The following is a 21,660-nucleotide window of genomic DNA, read 5'->3' as shown; positions in this document are numbered from 1 at the left end:
GCATATACACATATATATATATACACCACATTTTCTCTATGCATTCTTTGATTGATGGGCATTTGAGCTAGTTCCATATCCTTCACAATTGCAAATTGTGCTGCAATAAACGTATGTGCAAGTGTTTTTTTCATATAATGACTTCTTTTCCTCTGGGTAGATACCCAGTAGTGGGATTGCTAGATCAAATGGTAGATCTACTTTTAATTATTTAAGAAATCTTCATACTCTTTTCCATAGTGGTTGTACTAGTTTACATTCCCCCCAGCAGTGTAAAAGTGTTCCCTTTTTACCACACCCATGGCAACATCTATTTTTTTTAATTTTTTGATTATGGCTATTCTTGGAGGAGTGAGATGGTATCGCATTGTGGTTTTGTTTGCATTTCCCTGATAATTAGTGATATTGAGGATTTTTTCATGTTTCTTGGCCATTTATATCTTCTTTTGGGAAGTGTCTATTCATGTCCTTAGCACACTTTTTGATAGGATAATTTGATTTTTTCTTGCTGATTTGTGTGAGTTCCTTATAGATTCTGGATATTAGTACTTTGTTGGATGCATAGTTTTGTAAAGATTTTCTCCCACCCTATAGGTTGTCTTTTTACTCTGCTGATTATGTCTTTTGCTGTGTAGAAGCTTCTTAGTTTAATTAAGTCCCATCTATTTATCTTTGTTTTTGTTGCCTTTGCTTTTGGGTTCTTGGTCATGAAGTCTTTGCCTAAGCAAATGTCTAGAAGGGTATTTCCAATGTTACCTTCTAGAATTTTTATAGTTTTAGGTGTTAGATTTAAGTCTTTGATCCATCTTGAGTTGATTTTTGTATAAGGTGAGAGATGAGGATGCAGTTTCATTCTTCTACATATGGCTTGCCAATTATCCCAGCACCATTTGTTGAATACGGTGTCCTTTCCCAACTTTATGTTTTTGTTTCCTTTGTTAAAGATCAGTTGGCTTAAGTATTTGGCTTTATTTCTCGGTTCTCTATTCAGTTCCATTAGTCTGTGTGCCTATTTTTATACCAGTATTATGCTGCTTTGGTGACTATAGCCTTATAGTATAGCTTGAAGTCAAGAAATGTGATGCATCCACATTTGTTGTTTTTGCTTAGTCTTGCTTTCGTTATGCGGGCTATTTTTGGGTTCCACATGAATTTTAGGATTGCTTTTTCTAGTTCAGGGAAGAATGATGACGTAGATTGCTTTTGGCAGTATGGTCATTTTCACAATATTGATTCTACCTATCCATGAGCATGTGATGTGTTTCTATTTGTTTGGTGTCATCTATGATTTCTTTCTGCAGTGTTTTGTAGTTTTCACTGTAGAGCTCTTTCACCTCCTTGGTTAGGTATATTCCTAAGTTAGTTTGCTTGGGGTTTTTTCTTTGGTTTTGTTTGTTTGTTTGTTTTGGTTTTTTTGTAGCTGTTGTAAAAGGGATTGAGATCTTGATTTAATTCTCAGCTCAGTCACCGTCGGTGTATACCAGTGCTGCTGATTTGTGTACATTGATGTTGTATCCTGAAACATTACTGAATTCATTTATCAGATCTAGGAGCTTTTTGGATGAGTCTTTAGGGTTTTCTCATTATATGATCATATCATCAGGAACAGCAACAGTTTGACTTCCTCTTTACTGATTTAGATGCCCTTTATTTCTTTCTCTTTTCTTATTGCTCTGGCTAGGACTTCCAGTACTATGTTGAATAGAAGTGGTGAAAGTGGGCAACCTTGTTTTGTTCCAGTTCTCGGGGGAATGCTTTCAACTTTTCCCCATTCAGTATAATGTTGGCTGTGGGTTTTTCTTTCTTTCTCTTTCTGTATTTTTTTTTTGAGATGGAGTCTTGCTGTGTTGCCCAGGCTAGAGTGCAATGGCCCAATCTCAGCTCACTGCAACCTCTGTCTCCCAGGTTCAAGCAATTCTCATGCCTCAGCCTTCCAAAGACCTGGGAGTAGCTCCCCAAGCTCGCCAGCATCTATTACTTTTTGACTTTTTAATAATAGCCATTCTGCCTCCTGTGAGGTTGTATCTCATTGCACTTTTGTTTTGCATTTCTCTAATGATTAGTGATGTTGAATATTTTTCCGTATACTTGTTGACTACATGTTTGTCTTCTTTTGAGAATTGTCTTGTCCTGTCCTTTGCCCATTTAATGGGGTTGTTAGATTTTTGCTTGTTGATTTTTCTAAGTTCTTTTTGGATTCTGGATATTAGACTTTTGTCGAATGCATGGTTTGCAAATATTTCCTCCCATTCCATAGGTTGTTTGTTGATGATTTCTTTTGCTGTGCAGAAGCCCTTTAGTTTAATTAGGTCCCATTTGTCAATTTTTGTTTTGTTGCAATTGCTTTTGGCATCTTTGTCATAAAGTGTTTTCCAGAATTGAAATTTCCTAGGATATGTCCAGAATGGCCTGTATCCAGAATGGTATTTCTTAGGCTATCTTCCAGGGTTTTTATAGTTTTGGGTTTTACATTTAAGTCTTTAATCTACCTTGAGTTGATTTTTGTAAACGGTGAAACATAGGGAGTCCAGTTTCAATTTTCTGCATACGGCTAGCCAGTTATCCCAGCACAATTTCCAAGTAGGGATTCCCTTCCCCATTGCTTGTTTTTGTCAAGTTTGTTGAAGAGTAGATGGCTATAGGTGTGCGGCTTTATTTCTGCATTCTGTAACCTGTTCCACTGGTCTATGTCTGTTTTTGAGTTCCTTATAGATTCTGGATATTAGTACTTTGCTGGATGCATAGTTTGTAAAGATTTTCTCCCACTCTATAGGTTGTCTTTTTACTCTGCTGATTATTTCTTTTCCTGAGCATAAACGTGCTGTTTTGCTTACTGCAGCATTGTAGTACAGTTCGAAGTCAGGTAGTGTGACGCTTTCGACTTTGTTCTTTTTGCTTAGGATTGCTTTGGCTATTTGGGCTTTTTTTTTTCTTTTTTTTGGCTCCAAATGAATTTTAGAATGCTTTTTTTTAATCCTGTGAAAAATGTCATTGGTGGTATGATAGGAATAGCATTGACTCTGTAAATAGCCTTAGACAGTATGGCCATTTTAACAATATTGCTTCTTCCTATCTGTGATCATGGAATGTTTTCCTTTTGTTTCTGTTGTCTCTGATTCTTTGAGCACTCGCTTGTAATTTTCATTTTAGAGATTTTTCACCTCCCTGCTTAGCTGTATTCCAAGGTATTTTGTAGTTTTTTTGTGGCTACTGTGAATGGGATTGCATTCTTGATTTGGCTGTCAGCTTGGATGTTGTTGGTGTATAGAAATGCTACAGATTTTTGTACATTGATTTTTGTATCCTGAAACTTTGCTGAAGTCTTTTGTCAGATCTGAGAGCTCTCGATAGGCTACTATGGGGTTTTCTTGGTATAAAAGTGTTTCACCTATGAAGAGGCATAGTTTGACTTCCATTCTTCCTATTTAGGTGTCTGTGTTTCTTTCTCTTGCCTAATTGCACTGGCTAGGACATCCAGCACTATGATGAATAGGAGTAGTGGGAGTGGGCATCCTTGTCTTGTTCCAGTTCTCAAAGGGAATATTCCAGCTTTTTCCCATTCAGTATGAAGTTGGCTGTGGGTTTGTCATAAATGTCATAAATGTCATAAATGTCATAAATATTTTGAGGTATGCTCCTTCAGTAACTCATTTGTTGAGGGTTTATATCATGAACGGATGTTTTTACTTTTAGTTCTATTTTATGATGAATCACATTTATTGGTTTGTATATCTTGAACCAAACTTGCATCCCAGGGATAAAGCTTACTTGATCATAGTGGACTAGCTTTTTGATATGCTGCTGGATTCAGTCTGCTTGTATTTTATTGAGGATTTTTGCATCTATGATCATCAGTGATAACTGTCCTGAAGTTTTCTTTTTTGTTGTGTCTCTGCCAGGTTTTCATATCTGAATGATGCTGACCTCATAAAATGAGTTAGGGAGGGATCCTTCCTCCTCATTTTTTCGGAATAATTTCAGTAGCATTGGTACCAGCTCTTCTTTACACTTCCGGTAGAATTTGTCTGTGAATCTGTTGGGTCCTGGGCTTGCTTTTTTTTTTTTTTTTGGCTCAAAGACTTTTTATTACACATTCAGTTTCAGAACTCATTTTTGGTTTGTTCAGGATTTCAATTTCTTCCTAGTTCAATCTTGGGAGGTTGTATGTTTCCAGAAATTTACCCATTTCTTGTAGGTGTTCTACTTTGTTTGCATAAATATGTTCATCATAGTCTCTGAGAGTTTTTTGTATTTTTGTGTGGTTGGCGGTAATGTCCACTTTACCATTTCTGATTGTGTTTTTTGTATCTTCTCTTTTTTTTTTTTCTTATTGGTCTAGCTAGTGACCTATCAAATTTATTTATTCTTTCGAAGAAACAGCTTTTAGTTTCATTTATCTTTTGTATGGCTTTTCATGACTCAATTTCATTCCATTCTGCCCTGATTTTGGTTATTTATTTTCTTCTGCTAGCTTTGGGTTGGTTTATTCTTGTTTTTCTATTTCCTTTAGGTATGATATTAGGTTGTTAATTTAAGATCTTTCTAACTTTTCAATATGGGCCTTTAGCACGATAAATTTTTCCCTCAACACTGCTTTGCCTGTGTCTTAGAGAGCCTAGAATGTTGTATCTTTGTTTTAATTAGTTTCAAAGAATTTATTGGTTTCTGCCTTAATTTCATTGTTTACCCAAAAGTCATTCAGGCACAGGTTGTTTAATTTCCATGTAATTGTATGGTTTTGAGAGTTCTTCTTAGTGTTGACTTCTATTTTTGTTACACTGAGCAGTCCAAGAGTGTGGTTGGCATGATTTCTGGGGTTTCTTTTAATTTATTGAAAATAATTTTAGACTGATAGTGTGATCAATTTTACAATATATGCCATGTACAGATGAGAGGAAGATATATTCTGTTGTTGTTGGGTGGAGTGTTCTGTAGATGGCTGTTAGGTCCATTTAGCCAAGTGTTGACTTCAAGTCCTGAATATCTTTGTTCATTTTCTGTCTCTATGATCTGTCTAGTACCGTCAGTGAGATGTTGAATTCTCCCACTATTATTCTGTGGTTATCTAAGTCTCTCTATAGGTCTCTATGAACTTGTTTTATGAATGTGAATGCTCCAGTTTTGAGCACATTTATCTATCAGACAGTAAGTCTTCTTGTTGAATTGAACCCTTTATCATTACGTAGTGCCCTTCTTTGTGTTTTTGATTGTTGTTGGTTTAAAGTCTATTTTGTCTGAATTAGAATAACAATGCTTACCCTTTTTTGTTTTGCATTTGCTTGGTAGATTTTTTTCCATCCCTTTACTTCAAGCCAATGAGTATTGTTGCATATGAGCTGGATCTCTTGACAACAGATACAGTTGGGCTTTGCTTCTTTATCCAACTTGCCATTCTGTGAGTTTTAAGCAGGTCATTTATACTGTTTACATTCACAGTTAATATTGGTATTTATAGCTTTGGTCCTGCCATTATGTTGTTAGCTGGTTATTATGCAGACTTGATTGTGTAGTTACTTTACACGTCAATGGTCTATGTACTTAAATGTATTTTTTGGTGGCCATTAACAGTCTTTCACTTCCGTGCTTAGCACTCGCTTAAGTACCTCTTGTAAGGCATGTCTGGTGGTAACAGATTCCGTTAGCATTTGTTTGTCTGAAAAGGACCTTACTTCTCCTTCACATATGAAGTTTAGTTTGGCTGGATATTAAGTTCTTGGTTGATTTTTTTTTTTTTTTTTTTTTTTTGCGACAGAGTCTTGCTCTCTCCCCAGGCTGGAGTGCAGTGGTGCTATCTTGGCTCACTGCAACCTCCACCTCCTGGGTTAAGTGATTCTCTTGCCTCAGCCTCCCGAGTAGCTGGGACTACAGACACGCACCACCATGCCCAGCTAATTTTTGTATTTTTATTACAGATGAGGTTTCACCATGTTGGCCAGGATGGTCTTGATCTCTTGACCTTGTGTTCCGTCCCCCTCAGCCTCCCAAAGTGCTGGGATTACAGGCATGAGCCACCACACCTGGCCAAGTATTTTTTTTTTAAGAATGCTGAAGGCCGGGCATGGTGGCTCACACCTGTAATCCCAGAACTTTGAGAGGCCAAGGTGGGCAGATCACAAGGTCAAGAATTTGAGATCACCCTGGCCAATATGGTGAAATCCTGTCTCTACTAAAATTATAAAAAATTGTCGGGTGTTGTGGTGCGCACCTGTAGTCCCAGCTACTTGGGAGGCTGAGGGAGAAGAATTGCTTGAACCCGGGAATTGGAAGTTGCAGTGAGCCGAGATAGCACCAGTGCACTCCAGCCTGGGCAACAGAGTGAGACTCTGTCTCGAAAAAAAAAAAAGAGTGTTGAATATAGGCCCCCAATTTCTTTTGGATTGTAGAGTATCTTATAGTTCCACTGTTAGCTTGATGGGATTCCCTTTGTATGTGACCTGACCCTTCACTTTAGCTGTCTTTCATATTTTTTTATTTCATGTTGACCTTGGAGAATCTGATGACTCTCTGTCTTGAGGATGGTCATCTTGTATAGTATCTCACAGGATTCTCTGCATTTCCTGGATTCAAATGGTGACTTCTCTAGCAAGATTTGGGAAATTTTTTGGGCAGTATCCTCAAATACGTTTTCCAACTTGCTTGTTCTTTCTCCCTTTCTTTGAGTGATGTCTTGAGTCATATGTTTGGTCTCTTTACATAATCTCAGATTTCTCAGAGGTTTTGTTCATTCTTTTTTGTTCTTTATTTTCATCTGACTGAGTTGATTCAAAGAAGTGGTCTTTGAGATCTGAGATTCTTTCCTCAGCTTGGTCCGTTCTGCTGTTAGTACTTGTTATTGTATTATGAAATTCTTGAGGTGCATTTTTCAGCTCTATCAGTTTAGTTTGGTTCTTTCTTAAAATGCCTATTTCATCTTTCAGCTCTTATGTCATCTTATTGGATTCCTTACATTATTTGGATTGGATTTTGACTTTCTTCTGAATCTCAATGATCTTTGTTTCTATCCAGATTCTGTCATTTAATCCTGGTTAACAACCATTGTTGGAGAGTTAGTATGATTGCTTGAAGACAGGAAGACATTCTGGCTTTTTACATTGCCAGAGTTCTTGCACTGGTTCTTTCACATCTGTGTGGGCTAAAGTTCCTTTAATGTTTTGAATCACTGTCCTTTGGATGGAGTTTTTTCCTTTTTTATATTCTTTAATGCCCTTGAGGGTTTGACTGTGGCACAAGGTAGTTTCAGTCAAATGGATTCATTTCTGGAAGATTTCAGGGGACAAAGGCTCAGCTCAGCACTCCTGAACTGCATGCTCTAACTTTGCAAGGCTGGTACCATACCCACAGTTTTGTTGTCTGGCCCTTCAGTGTTAAGCACTGAGGTGTTCCCAGTCCACTGGCAACAACACTCTGATGGGGTGTGTCAGCCAAAGTGCTTCATTGTAGTGATTGTAGCAAGGTCCCCACTCACACATATGTGCCAGCAGCAGCAGCACAGAGCAGGTATGCTTGTGTTGGCAGGGGTGCAGTGCCGGCAGGAGTGGGATGGGGTGTTCTGCATACTTACACGTGCCAGCCGGGGCAATGGTGCTGTGGGGAGCACTCATGTGCTGCTGGAGACAGAGTGGCAGCATCTTCATGAGTTTTATGTTATCATTCTAGATCTTTAAAAATAATGTTCTGGACTTCTAACAAATGTATTTGTGAACCCAGAGAAAAAAAGAGTATTATTTTGTGCACTTTTACTTAATCATACCCAAGAAAATTTTACTTTACAATTTGTTCTTTTCATTCAACAATAGTCTTGAAGTTTATCCATCTCAAGATAGATACATATGTAGTTTATTCCTTTTAATTGTATAAGATTACATTGTATGTCAACAGCAGATTTTATTTACAATGTTATAACAAAAATAGCATTTTATTTGTCTCATTTTACATAAATATAAGTTTGTCTAGAATAGTTACCTGGGTTACATGCATTTTTAGTTTGATGTATACTGCCAAAATCCTTTCAGTATGGCCACTTTAATTTGCCCCAATACCAATAGCTTATGAGCCTACCTGATGTTCTTGAAAATCCTTGCAAATCTTTGATATTATTAAATTTTATAATGTTTTCCAGTCTGATAATTGAAAAAATGGCATATTTTTGTTATTTTAATTTGCATTTCTGTGATTATTCACAAGCTTGAATATCTTTTATATATGTGTTGTCCTTCAGCTTTTCCTTATCTGTAACTAGCCTGTTCATATCCTTTGTCCATTTTTTTGTTGAGTTGATCTTCTTTATTAATTATATCTGTTATATGCATTTGTAAATTATATGTATTGCAAATATCAGTAGATATTTAATTTTGTTTGTGATGATTTTTTTTCACTCTAAGAAGTGTATTTTGTTATTTTCAACAGACAGAATTGCCAATACACAGCACTGTTCACTTGACTTTGAAAATGAAAAAGAGTAAAAGGGGAAGAAAGAGCAGAATTGCTTTTGAAGTAGTACTTTATTATAGTACTTTTGAAGTACTACTTTAATATAATTGAATGTATCAAAATCTCTTTTTATGTCTAATGCCTTTGTATGTATCATTCAAAAGGTCCTTTTTACCTCATGATCACAAATATATTATTCTACATCTTTTTTTGTTGTTGTTCAGAGTCTTGCTGTCACCCAGGCTGTAGTGCAGTGGCATGACCTCAGCTTACTGCAACCTCCACCTCCCAGGTTCAAGTCATTCTCCTGCCTCAACCTCCCAAGTAGCTGGGACTACAAGCATGCACCACTGCACCCAGCTATTGGTTTCACCATGTTGGCCAGGCTGGTCTCAGATTCCTGATCTGTCCACCTCAGCCTCCCAAAGTGCTGGGATTACAGGTGTGAGCCATCATGCCTAGCCCACTACATTTTCTTATTACTACTTTTCCTTTTGAGCTTTTAACATTTATTATGTTTAAGGATCGATCTATATTCCTTTCCACATAAATAGTTATCTCAGCACCGTTTGTGAAAGATTTCTTTCTTTCTCCCACCGATTTAAAATACAAATTGTATGATGTAACAAATCCCATAGATTTGTTTCCACACTTTGTATTCTCTTTTCTTCCAATTTATTTTGTCTATTTATATGTCACTATTATTCAGTTTTAACTATTTTACCTTTACAAAAACAGTATCTTGTTTTCTTAAGTTTACTTGATCTTTCATTCTAAGATCTTATTCTTCCAAATGAATTTTATAATCAGCTTGTCAAGCTCAGTAAAAATCCCTGCAAAGATTTTGATTGGTGTATCTCTGATTAATTCATTTGGGGGAGAGATTACATCTTTATATTATTGAGGCTTTGGCCAGGCGTGGTGGCTCACACCTATAATCCCAGCAGTTTGGGAGGCCAAGGCAGGCATATCACTTGAGGTCAGGAGTTCAAGACCAGCCTGGCCAAAATGGTGAAACACTGTATCTACTAAAAACACAAAAACTAGCCAGGCGTGGTGTTGGGTGATGGTAAAATTGGGGCTTTTTAGTTCACACTTGTGAAATGTCTCTCTAAGTATTCAGGTATTATCTTAATTACTATATTATTAGATTCACAATTTTTATAAAAGTATAGACTGTCTTCACAGTTTTGTTCTTAGACACTTTGTGTTTGTAATTGATGTTGTGGATTAAATTCTCTTTGATCACTTATTCCTGGGGAAGCCAGCTGCCATGTCCTGAGGCAGCCCTGTGGAGAAAACCCCGTTGGAAAAAACTGAAGCCTGCAATGGCTACATGAGTAAACTTGGAAGCAGATCTTCTCCACCCCACCCTACCTCATGGGAAATCTTAAGTCAAGGCATACAGCTAAGCCATGCCCAGATTCCTGACCCACAGAAGTCATAAGACAATAAATATTTGTTGTTTTAAGCTGCTATGTTTGGGGATGACTTGTTAAGCAAAATGAGAAAAATAATACAACAAGTGATTACAATGTGCAGCAGAGCTCAGGAACCACTGAACTAGACCAGTATGTGGTCTTAGAGAAGTCTAGTCTCTTCTTGAGCCCACAGGGAAATCTGTAGCATAAACTGCACCATAGAGTTGTACAGCCAGAAGCAAATCTCACATCAGTCCGTCATTGGCAGATGCTGTCTGGAGGGAAAATAGAGGGGTGCACAACCTCCCTAGTATTCCCAAGTAGGTGCTTGTCAGCAGGACAAGGGTTCTAGAAACCTGCAGGTAATAGCAGCCAACAAGAAGCACTGGGAGATGTGTTCATTGACCTGGTAAATGGATTCTGGCAGGAGCACCAAAGGCATTTCTACACAGGATATACTTCACGCTTTATAAAGTAAATGTAGAAGAGATGGGGTGAAATTCTGGATAAGATATGCCAATAGAAGGTATTCTGAGCAGGAGCCTCCCCATTCCTCATGGGTGTCATCAACCACTCCAGAAATGTTCTCATTTGCCTTTGTAACTTAGGTGGCCACACTTGTTTTTTTGGGCAGACAACTCTGTTCCTTCCTTCCTTACTTACTTATTTACTCGAGAGGTAGGAAATGTGTGGAAGGTAGATTTGTCTGACCATTCTTACAGTGGTACTCCAAATAATCAACTATTTGGTTTCCCCAGAGGTCTCTCCTGCTCCCAGCACCTGTCATTTCAGGGCTTGGACCACTTTTAGAAGCACATGTATCTTTTGAGGCAATCTTATTTACACACATTTTGGTTTATGGTTTCCTTTTTTCAATCCTAAATTGTCTGTCTCTTATCTTTCTGGCATATGCTTAGTTTCTTGTCCATTGATGATTCACCTTTTGCTTTCTTGTTAGGTTATGAATTTTTCTATTACCTTTACATCTTCATTTCAAAGGATTTAGGAATAGAGGGAAAGGCTGCAACCTGTGCTCAGGCCAACATTTTAAACCACGTCTGTATAAAATTTTAGCTAACACTAAACCATGCATGAAAAGTTTTATCACCATTAAATTGCATTCACTCAAATTTGAAATTCTTCTAAACAATGTTTGTTATAAATTTATTATAAACTACTTGTACTTATAAACACTACTTGATTAAAAAGATGCTTTTAAATTAATTTTCATTCTCTCAGTTTTGTTTTAGGTGCTGTCTCTCCTGTTGTTGTTGTCCTTTACATGATGGTGTTGCAAGAAAATGGATATGGTGTTGAGGAAGACATTCCAACCTACTAATGGCTGCTAGCAGTATGGATGACATTCTGGCTATCACTGGATTCAATACATGCTTGAGCATAGTCTTCTTCTCGGGTAAACAAGAAAATATAACAACCACCAGATCATTCATGACCTTTTTTGTTAGTTCTTTAAACAGGGTTTCTGGCTTTGCTTCTTCATTTATTAACCAAGACTGTTCAATTTAACATCTTTTTAATCTCCATAGAAAGCTCATTCCAGACCAAGGAAGATATTTCAGTGGCTTAAGATACCACTACTTAACACACATGATCTCACTTTAATAATCATGTGACAATTAATTTGATACACCATATTATTACTATTTATATGCTTATGTTGCTTTTGAATTTTATCAGTTCTCATTAGAAAAAATTAAGCAGCAGTATTATTTGTACTACTAATATTTTAATAGGCATTTTTGAAATGTGCCTTTTTGGCCATCCTAATAAACAACTGGTTGCTCTATTATAAGACAATATAAACATACAGAGCTGGGACAGCCATATGCCTTTTTGGTAGTGTTAGGACAAGATCCTGCACCAGTTCTGATTCCCAAGGTGATATCTGGTCTTGAATATCACTACAGAAATTGTGAAACTAAACATTTCCACATTTAGTAATGCTTTAATTATCTGCAATGTTTGAGTCTTCTGTATTATTGAAGCACTAAACTATTTTTAAGTTGAAAAGTAATATATATAGTTTTATAGTTTCTCTTAAAATAAGAAAATATAAATAAATAAGAAAAAGAGGAAAAGTTAAAAAAATCTGCAATAGTCACATCCAGAAGAAAAGAATCATTTCCTTCTGAACCTTTTGATATAAATCCACCCATATTCCCTTCCCTTCCCTTTTTCCCTTCTTCCCTTCCCTTCCCTTCCCCTCCCCTCCCCCTTCCCTTCCGTTACCCCTCTCTCTCTGTCAAATATTCTTATAAAAATTAGTGAATATTGACCAATATGTTCTTTTATTTTTTTTTTTGAGGCGGAGTCTTGCTCTGTCACCAAGGTTGGAGTGCAGTGGCACAATCTCGGCTCACTGCATGCTCTGCCTCCTGGGTTCATGTCATTCTCCTGCCTCAACCTCCCAAGTAGTTGGGACTACAGGCGCCCGCCACCGCACCTGGCTAATTTTTTTTTGTATTTTTAGTAGAGCCAGGGTTTCACCGTGTTAGCCAGGATGGTCTTGATCTCCTGACATCGTGATCCTCCTGCCTTGGCCTCCCAAAGTGCTGGGATTACAGGCATGAGCCATCGCACCCGGCCTAATATGTTCTTATAACCTGAATTGTTTTACACTTAACTGTATATCACAAACATGTTTCTTTTCAGTAAATGTATTTGTATATCATTTTTAATAGTTGTTTAGCTTAATGAAAGAGTATTCAATGTGCTGCATCATGATTACTTATCCTGTTCAAAATTAAAGTTAACTCCAATATTTACTATTAAAATAATACTTAGTTGTGCTGCTATAAAAATATTTTTTTAAATTAAAAAATTGGCCGGGCATGGTGGCTCACACATATAATCCCAGCACTTTGGGAGGCCAAGAAGGGTGGATCACATGAGGTCAGGAGTTCAAGACCAGCCTGGCCAACGAACATGGTGAAACCCCGTCTCCACTAAAAATACAAAACTTAGCCAGGCACGGTTGTGGGCATCTGTAATCCCAGCTACTCAGGAGGCTGAAGCAGAAGAATCACTTGAACCCAGGAGGCGGAGGCTGTAGTGAGCTATCCAGCCTGGGCAACAGAGCGAGACTCTGTCTCAAAAAAATTTTTTTAATTAAAAAAATAATACTTAGAAGAACATATAGGGAAATATTTGTACCTAATCTTCATATTTTCTTAAGCTTAAAAGTGTAATTGTTGATCTAAAAGGTATATACATTTATGAGTGTTCTGAAACATATTGCCACAATATCAAATCCTACCAGGGTACATAAACTTGTCATTTCCTCTCACCTCTCTTCAAAACTTGGTATTACTAGCCTTTTTCATCTTTGCTAATTTGATAGGTGAAGGAGGGATCTCTATAAATGAAGTACTTTGAATACTAGTGTTGTTAAATATCCATGTTTATTCGTCATTGGCATTTTGTAAATTGCTTTTCTTGAAAGTTTTTTGCCTATTTCTTTTGGTGGGTTCACCTTTTGTTCTTTTTGATTTGTCAAGATTCTGCATTAAATTGAGAATGAAAACCTTTGTTTTATATACTTTAGTTTTTTCAATTTGTGATTTGGCTTTTAATTTTCTCACTCTTTTTACCATTCAGAAGTTAAAGTTTTTTTATTGTCAATTGTGAAAATGTTTTCCTTCATGATTGGTATCTGTCTTTCTTTCAAAAAATATTGTTATCAGTCATGTTTCAAAAAAATATTTCCAGGCTGGGCCCAATGGCTCATGCCTATAATCCCAACACTTTGGGAGGCCAAAGCGGGGGGATCACTTGAGGACATGAGTTCAAGACCAGCCTGGCCAAAATAGCAAAGCTCCATCTCTACTAAAAATACAAAACGTTAGCTGGGTGTGGTGGCACAGGCCTGTAATCCCAGCTACTCAGGGGGCTGAGGCACAAGAATCGCTTGAAACCAAGAGGCAGAGGTTGCAGTGAGCCAAGATCACACCACTGCACTCCAGCCTGGGTGACAGAGGGAGACTGTCTGAAAAAAAGAAAAAAAAATTCCTCTTCCTTTTGCCGGCTACTATGCCAAACACTGAGAATAAACAGTAGGCAACAACATTAGCTTTTATTGAATACTTGCTTGGCTCTTGTTCTAAGTTCCATATATGTCACCACTCATTTACAGGTAAGGAAACTGAGAAAAATGTTAAGTAATTTTCTCAAGGACAGAGATCCAATAAGTAGGGGAGCCAAGATGCAAATCTGACAGTCTTTCACTCCACACCCACACATTTAACTCTTCTCTTCTCCACTGCCTCCCAACACAACAGAGAGACAAGATCAAATGGTGCATGTTCTCAAGGAGCTTGTATATTAAAGAAAAGTTACAAATTGGATGAATATTACATTGTGAAGGTTAATATTCAGTAAGTGTCAACTTGATTAGATTGAAGGATCCAAAGTATTGTTCCCGGTTGTGTCTGTGAGGGTGTTGCCAAAGGAGATTAACATTTATTTAGTGGACTGGGAAAGGCAGATCCACCCTCAGTGTGGGTGGGCACCATACAATCAGCTGCCAGCATGGCTAGAATAAAGCAGGCAGAAGAAGGTTAGAAGAAGCTGACTTGCTGAGCCTTCTGCCCTCATCTTTCTCCCATGCTGGATGCTTCCTGCACTCAAATATCAGACTCCAGGTTCTTTGGCTTTTGGACTCTTGGACTTACTCCAGTTGTTTTCCAGGGGCTCTCAGGCCTTCATCCAGAGACTCAAAGCTGGCCTGTAGGTTTCCCTACTTTTGAGGTGTTGGGACTCGGACTGAGCCAATACTAGATTCCTTGTTCCTCAACTTGCAGACAGCCTGTTGTAGGACTTCGATTGTGATGGTGTGATTCAATTCTCCCTAATAAACTCCCTTTCATATATATATATATATCCTATTAGTTCTATCCCTCTAGAGAACCATGACTAATACAGATTTTGATACTGAGGTAATGGAGTATTGCTATAAGATACCTGAGAATGTGGAAGTGACTTTGGAACTGTGTAATGTGCAGAGTTTGGAACAGTTGGCAGGACTCAGAAGTAGACCAGAAGATGTGGGAAAGTTTGTAACTGCCTAGAGACTTGTTGAATGGTTTTGACCAAACTGCTGATAGTGACGTGGACAGTGAAGTCCAGGCTGAGGAGGTCCGAGATGGAGATGAACAACTTGTTGGGAACTGAAGTAAAGGTCACTCTTGTTATGCTTTAGCAAAGAGACTGGTGGCATTTTGCCCCTGCCCTACAGATTTATGGAACTTTGAAATTGAGAGAGATGACTGAGGACATCTGGTAGAAGAAACGTTTGTTGTTGTTGTTGTTGTTGTTATACCTTAAGTTCTAGGGTACATGTGCACAACGTGCAGGTTTGATACATAGGTATACATGTGCCATGTTGGTTTGCTGCACCCATCAACTCATCATTTACATTAGGTATTTCTCCTAATGCTCTCCCTCCCCCAGCCCTCCACCCCTCAACAAGCCCCAGTGTGTGATGTTCTCAGCCCTGTGTCCAAGTGATCTCATTGTTCAATTCCCATCTATGAGTGAGAACATGCGGTGTTTGGTTTTCTGTCCTTGTGATAGTTTTGCTGAGAATGATGGTTTCCAGCTTCTTCTATCTCCCTGCAAAGGACATGAACTCATCCTTTTTTATGGCTGCATAGTATTCCATGGTGTATATGTGTCACATGTCTTAATCCAGTCCATCATTAATGGACATTTGGGTTGATTCCAAGTCTTTGCTATTGTTAATAGTGCCGCAATAAACATACATGTGCATGTGTCTTTATAGTAGCATGATTTATAATCCTTTGGGTATATACCCAGTAATAGGATTGCTGGGTCAAATGGTAATTCTAGTTCTAGATCCTCGAGGAATCACCACAATGTCTTTCACAATGGTTGAACTAGTTTACACTCCCACCAACAGTGTAAAAGCGTTCCTATTTCTCCATATCCTCTCCAGCACCTGTTGTTTCCTGACTTTTTAATGAATACCATTCTAACTGGGGTGAGATGGTATCTCATTGTGGTTTTGATTTGCATTTCTCTGATGACCAGTGATGGTGAGCTTTTTTTCTTGTGTCTGTTAGCTGCATAGATGTCTTCTTTGGAGAAGTGTCTATTCATATCTTTGCCCACTTTTTGATGGGGTTGTTTTTTTCTTGTAAATTTGTTTGAATTCTTTCTTTGTCAAATGGGTAGATTGCAATTTATCTCCCATTCTGTATGTTGCCTGGTTCACTCTGATGGCAGTTTCTTTTGCCATGCAGAAGCTCTTTAGTTTAATTAGATCCCATTTGTCAATTTTGGCTTTTGTTGCCATTGCTTTTGGTGTTTTAGTCATGAAGTCCTTGCTCATGCCTATGGCCTGAATGGTATTGCCTATGTTTTCTTCTAGGGTTTTTATGGTTTTAGGTCTAACATTTAAGTCTTTAATCCATCTTGAATTAATTTTTGTATAAGATGTAAGGAAGGGATCCAGTTTCAGCTTTCTACATATAGCTAGCCAGTTTTCCCAGCGTCATTTATTAAATAGGTAATCCTTTCCCCATTTCTTGTTTTTGTCAGGTTTGTCAAAGATCAGATGGCTGTAGATGTGTGGTCTTATTTCCGAGGGCTCTATTCTGTTCCATTGGTCTGTATCTCTGTTTTGGCACTAGTACCATGCTGTTTTGGTTACTGTAGCCTTGTAGTGTAGTTTGAAGTCAGGTAGTGTGATGCCTCCAGCTTTGTTCTTTTTGCTTAGGATTGTCTTGGCAATGCAGGCTCTTTTTTGGTTCCATATGAACTTTAAAGTAGTTTTTTTCCAATTCTGTGAAGAAAGTTATTAGTAGCTTGATGGGGATGGTATTGAATCTATAAATTACTTTGTGCAGTATGGCCATTTTCAGGATATTGATTCTTCCTATCCATGAGCGTGGAATATTCTTCCATTTGTTTGTGTCCTCTTTTAATTCGTTGAGCAGTGGTTTGTAGTTCTCCTTGAAGAGGTCCTTCACAACCCTTGTAAGTTGGATTCCTAGGTATTTTATTCTCTTTGTAGCAATTGTGAATGGGAGTTCACTCATGATTTGGCTCTCTGTTTGTCTATTAATGGTGTATAGGAATGCTTGTGATTTTTGTACATTAATTTTGTATCCTGAGAGTTTGCTGAATTTGCTTATCAGCTTAAGGAGATTTTGGGCTGAGACGGTGGGGTTTTCTAAATATACAATCACGTCATCTGCAAACAGGGACAATTTGACTTCATCTTTTCCTAACTGAATACCATTTATTTCTTTCTCCTGCCTGATTCCACTGGTCAGAACTTCCAACACCATGTTGAATAAGAGTGGTGAGAGAGGGCATCCTTGTCTTGTGCCGGTTTTCAAAAGGAATGCTTCCAGTTTTTGCCCATTCAGTATGATATTGGCTGTGGGTTTGTCATAAATAGCTCTTAATATTTTGAGATACGTCCCATCAATATCTAGTTTATTGAGAGTTGTTAGCATGAAGGAGTGTTGAATTTTGTCAAAGGCCTTTTCTGCATCTATTGAGATAATCATGTGGTTTTTGTCTTTGGTTCTGTTTATGTAATGGATTACGTTTATTGATTTGCCTATGTTGAACCAGCCTTGCATCCCAGGGATGAAGCCCACTTGATCGTGGTGGATAAGCTTTTTGATGTGCTGCTGGATTTGGTTTGCCAGTATTTTATTGAGGATTTTTGCATCGATGTTCATCAAGGATATTGGTCTAAAATTCTCTTTTTTTGTTGTGTCAATGCCAGGGTTTGGTACCAGGATGATGTTGGCCTCATAAAATGACTTAGGGAGGATTCTCTATTGTTCTTTTTTTTTGGATGAAAAAAGAGCTGTTTAATTTTTTTTGATGTTTTCAATGTTGATATTTTTTCCAAGAATTAGAGAAATATCTCTGGATGGTTATCTAAAATTTATAATTTTTCTACAGATATGGTAAGTAGGAGAGTGTCATAGTTTTTCTATTATTATACTTTAAGTTCTAGGGTACATGTGCACAATGTGCTGGTTTGTTACATATGTATACATGTGTCATGTTGGTGTGCTGCACCCATTAACTCATCATTTACATTAGATATATCTCCTAATGCTATTCCCCCTCCCCCCACTCCATGACAGGCCCCAGTGTGTGATGTACCCCACCCTGTGTCCAAGTGTTCTCATTGTTCAATTCCCACCTATGAGTGAGAACATGTGGTGTTTAGTTTTCTGTCCTTGCGATAGTTTTCTCAGAATGATGGTTTCTAGCTTCATCCGTGTCCTTACAAAGGACATGAACTCATCCTTCTTATGGCTGCATAGTATTCCATGGTGTATATGTGCCACATTTTCTTAATCCAGTCTATCATTGATGGACATTTAGGTAGGTTCCAAGTCTTTGCTATTGTGAATAGTGCCGCAATAAACATACGTGTGCATGTGTCTTTATAGCAGCATGATTCACAATCCTTTGGGTATATGCCCAGTAATGGGATGGCTGGGTGAAATGGTATTTCTAGTTCTAGATCCTTGAGGAATTGCCACACTGTCTTCTACAATGATTGAACTAGTTTACACTCCAACCAACACTGTAAAAGTGTTCCTATTTCTCCATATCCTCTCCAGCACATGTTGCTTCCTGACTTTTTAATGATCGCCATTCTAATTGGTGTGAGATGGTATCTCATTGTGGTTTTGATTTGCATTTCTCTGATGGCCAGTGGTGATGAGCATTTTTCCATGTGTCTGTTGGCTGCATAGATGTCTTCTTTTGAGAAGTGTCTGTTCATACCCTTTGCCCACTTTTTGATGGGGTAGTTTGATTTTTTCATATAAATTTGTTTAAGTTCTTTGTAGATTCTGGATATTAGCCCTTTGTCAGATGGGTAGATTGTAAAAATTTTCTCCCATTCTGTAGGTTGTCTGTTCACTCTGATGGTAGTTTCTTTTGCTATGCAGAAGCTCTTGAATTTAATTAGATCTGATTTGTCAATGTTGGCTTTTGTTGCCATTGCTATTGGTGTTTTAGTCATGAATTCCTTGCCCATGCCTATGTCCTGAATGGTATTGCCTAGGTATTCTTCTAGGGTTTTTATGGTTTTAGGTCTAACATTTAAGTATTTAATCCATCTTGAATTAAATTTTATATAAGGTGTAAGGAAGGGATCCAGTTTCAGCTTTCCACATATGGCTAGCCAGTTCTCCCAGCACCATTTATTAAATAGGGAATCCTTTCCCCATTTCTTGTTTATGTCAGGTTTGTCAAAGATCAGATGGTTGTAGATGTGTGGTATTATTTCCGAGGGCTCTATTCTGTTCCATTGGTCTGTATCTCTGTTTTGGCACTAGTACCATGCTGTTTTGGTTACTGTAGCCTTGTAGTGTAGTTTGAAGTCAGGTAGTGTGATTCCTCCTGCTTTGTTCTTTTTGCTTAGGATTGACTTGGCAATGCAGGTTCTTTTTTGGTTCCATATGAACTTTAAAGTTGTTTTTTCCAATTCTGTGAAGAAAGTCATTGGTAGCTTGATTGGGACGGCATTGAATCTATAAATTATCTTTGTCTGTATGGCCATTTTCACGATATTGATTCTTCCTATCCATGAGCATGGAATGTTCTTCCATTTGTTTGTGTCCTCTTTTATTTTGTTGAGCAGTGGTTTGTAGTTCTCCTTGAAGAGGCCCTTCACATCCCTTGTAAGTTGGATTCCAAGGTATTTTATTCTCTTTGAAGCAATTGTGAATGGGAGTTCACTCATGATTTGGCTCTCCGTTTTTGTGTTATTGGTGTATAGGAATGCTTGTGATTTTTGCACATTGATTTTGTATCCTGAGAGTTTGCTGAAGTTGCTTATCAGCTTAAGGAGATATTGGGCTGAGATGATGGGGTTTTGTGAATATACAGTCATGTCATCTTCAGACAGGAACAATTTGACTTCCTCTTTTCCTAATTGAATACCCTTTATTTCATTCTCTTGCCTGATTGACCTGGCCAGAACTTCCAAGACTATGTTGAATAGGAGTGGTGAGAGAGGGAATCGTTGTCTTGTGCCAGGTTTCAAAGGGAATGCTTCCAGTTATTGTCCATTCAATATGATATTGGCTGTGTTTTTGTCATAAATAGCTCTTATTATTTTGAGATACATCCCATCAATACCTAGTTTATTGAGAGTTCTTAGCATGAAGGGCTGTTGAATTTTGTCAAAGGTCTTTTCTGCATCTATTAAGATAATCATGTGGTTTTTGTCTTTGGTTCTGTTTATATGATGTATTACGCTTATTGATTTGCGTATGTTGAACCAGTCTTGCATCCTAGGGATGCCAAGTTGATCGTGGTGGATAAGCTTTTTGATGTGCTGCTGGATTCAGTTTGTTAGTATCTTATTGAGGATATTTGCATCAATGTTCATCCGGGATATTGGTCTAAAATTCTCTTTTTTTGTTGTTGTGTCTGTCAGGCTTTGGTATCAGGATGATGTTGGTCTCATAAAATGAATTAGGGAGGATTCTATCTTTTTCTATTGATTGGAAAAGTTTCAGAAAGAATGATACCAGCTCCTCTTTGTACCTCTGGTAGAACTCAGCTGTGAATGCATCTGGTCCTGGACTTTTTTTTGGTTGGTGGGCTATTAATTATTGCCTCAATTTCAGAGCCTGTTATTGGTCTATTCAGAGATTCAACTTCTTCCTGGTTTAGTCTTGCAAGGGTGTATGTGTCCCAGAATTTATCCATTTCTTCCAGATGTTCAAGTTTATTTGTGTATAGGCGTTTATAGTATTCTCTGATGGTAGTTTTTATTTCCCTGGGCTCAGTGGTGATATCCCCTTTATCATTTTATTGCATCTATTTGATTCCTCTCTCTTTTCTCTTTATTAGTCTTGCTAGCAGTCTATCAATTTTGTTGATCTTTTCAAAAAACAAGCTCCTGGATTCATTGCTTTTTTGAAGGGTTTTTTGTGTCTCTGTCTCCTTCAGCTCTGCTCTGATCTTATTTTTTCCTTCTGCCAGCTTTTGAATGTGTTTGCTTTTTCTTCTCTAGTACTTTTAATTGTGATGTTAGGGGGTCAATTTTAGATCTTTCCTGCTTTCTCTTCTGGGCATTTAGTGCTATCAATTTCCCCCTACACACTGCTTTAAATGTGTCCCAGAGATTCTGGTACATTGTGTCTTTGTTCTCATTGGTTTCAAAGAACATCTTTATTTCTGCCTTCATTTTGTTATTTACCCAGTAGTCATTCAGGAGCAAATTGTTCAGTTTCCATGTAGTTGTTCAGTTTTGAGTGAGCTTCTTAATCCTAAGTTCGAATTTGATCGCACTGTGGTCTGAGAGACAGTCTGTTGTGATTTCTGTTCTTTTACATTTGGTGAGGAGTGCTTTACTTCCAATTATGTGGTCAAATTTAGAATAAGTGAGATGTGGTGCTGAGAAGAATGTACACTCTGTTGATTTGGGGTGGAGAGTTCTGTGGATGTCTATTGGGTCTGTTTGTTGCAGAGCTGAGTTCAGGTCCTGGATATCTTTGTTAACCTTCTGCCTTGTTGATCTTTCTAATATTGACAGTTGGGTGTTAAAGTCTCCCATTATTATTGTGTGGGAATCTAAGTCTCTTTGTAGGTCTCTAAGGACTTGCTTTATGAATCTGGGTGCTCTTGTATTAGGTGCATATATATTTAGGATAGTTAGCTCTTCTTGTTGCATTGATCCCTTTACCATTATGTAATGGCCTTCTTTGTCTCTTTTGATCTTTGTTGGTTTAAAGTCTGTTTTATCAGAGACAAGGATTGCAACCCCTGCCTTTTT

General features: G+C 37.8%; 1 pseudogene; it reads left to right on the top strand.

Annotated features, from left to right (window-relative positions):
• Positions 1 to 21,660, top strand: part of SLC9B1P3 (solute carrier family 9 member B1 pseudogene 3) — a 48,295-nt pseudogene that overhangs the window by 5,907 nt on the left and 20,728 nt on the right.

Source organism: Homo sapiens, chromosome 10 (assembly GCF_000001405.40).
Source record: "Homo sapiens chromosome 10, GRCh38.p14 Primary Assembly".
NCBI lineage: Eukaryota > Metazoa > Chordata > Mammalia > Primates > Hominidae > Homo > Homo sapiens.
The sequence above is the reverse complement of the archived record's forward strand: the minus strand, read 5'-3'. Positions and strand labels throughout refer to the sequence as shown.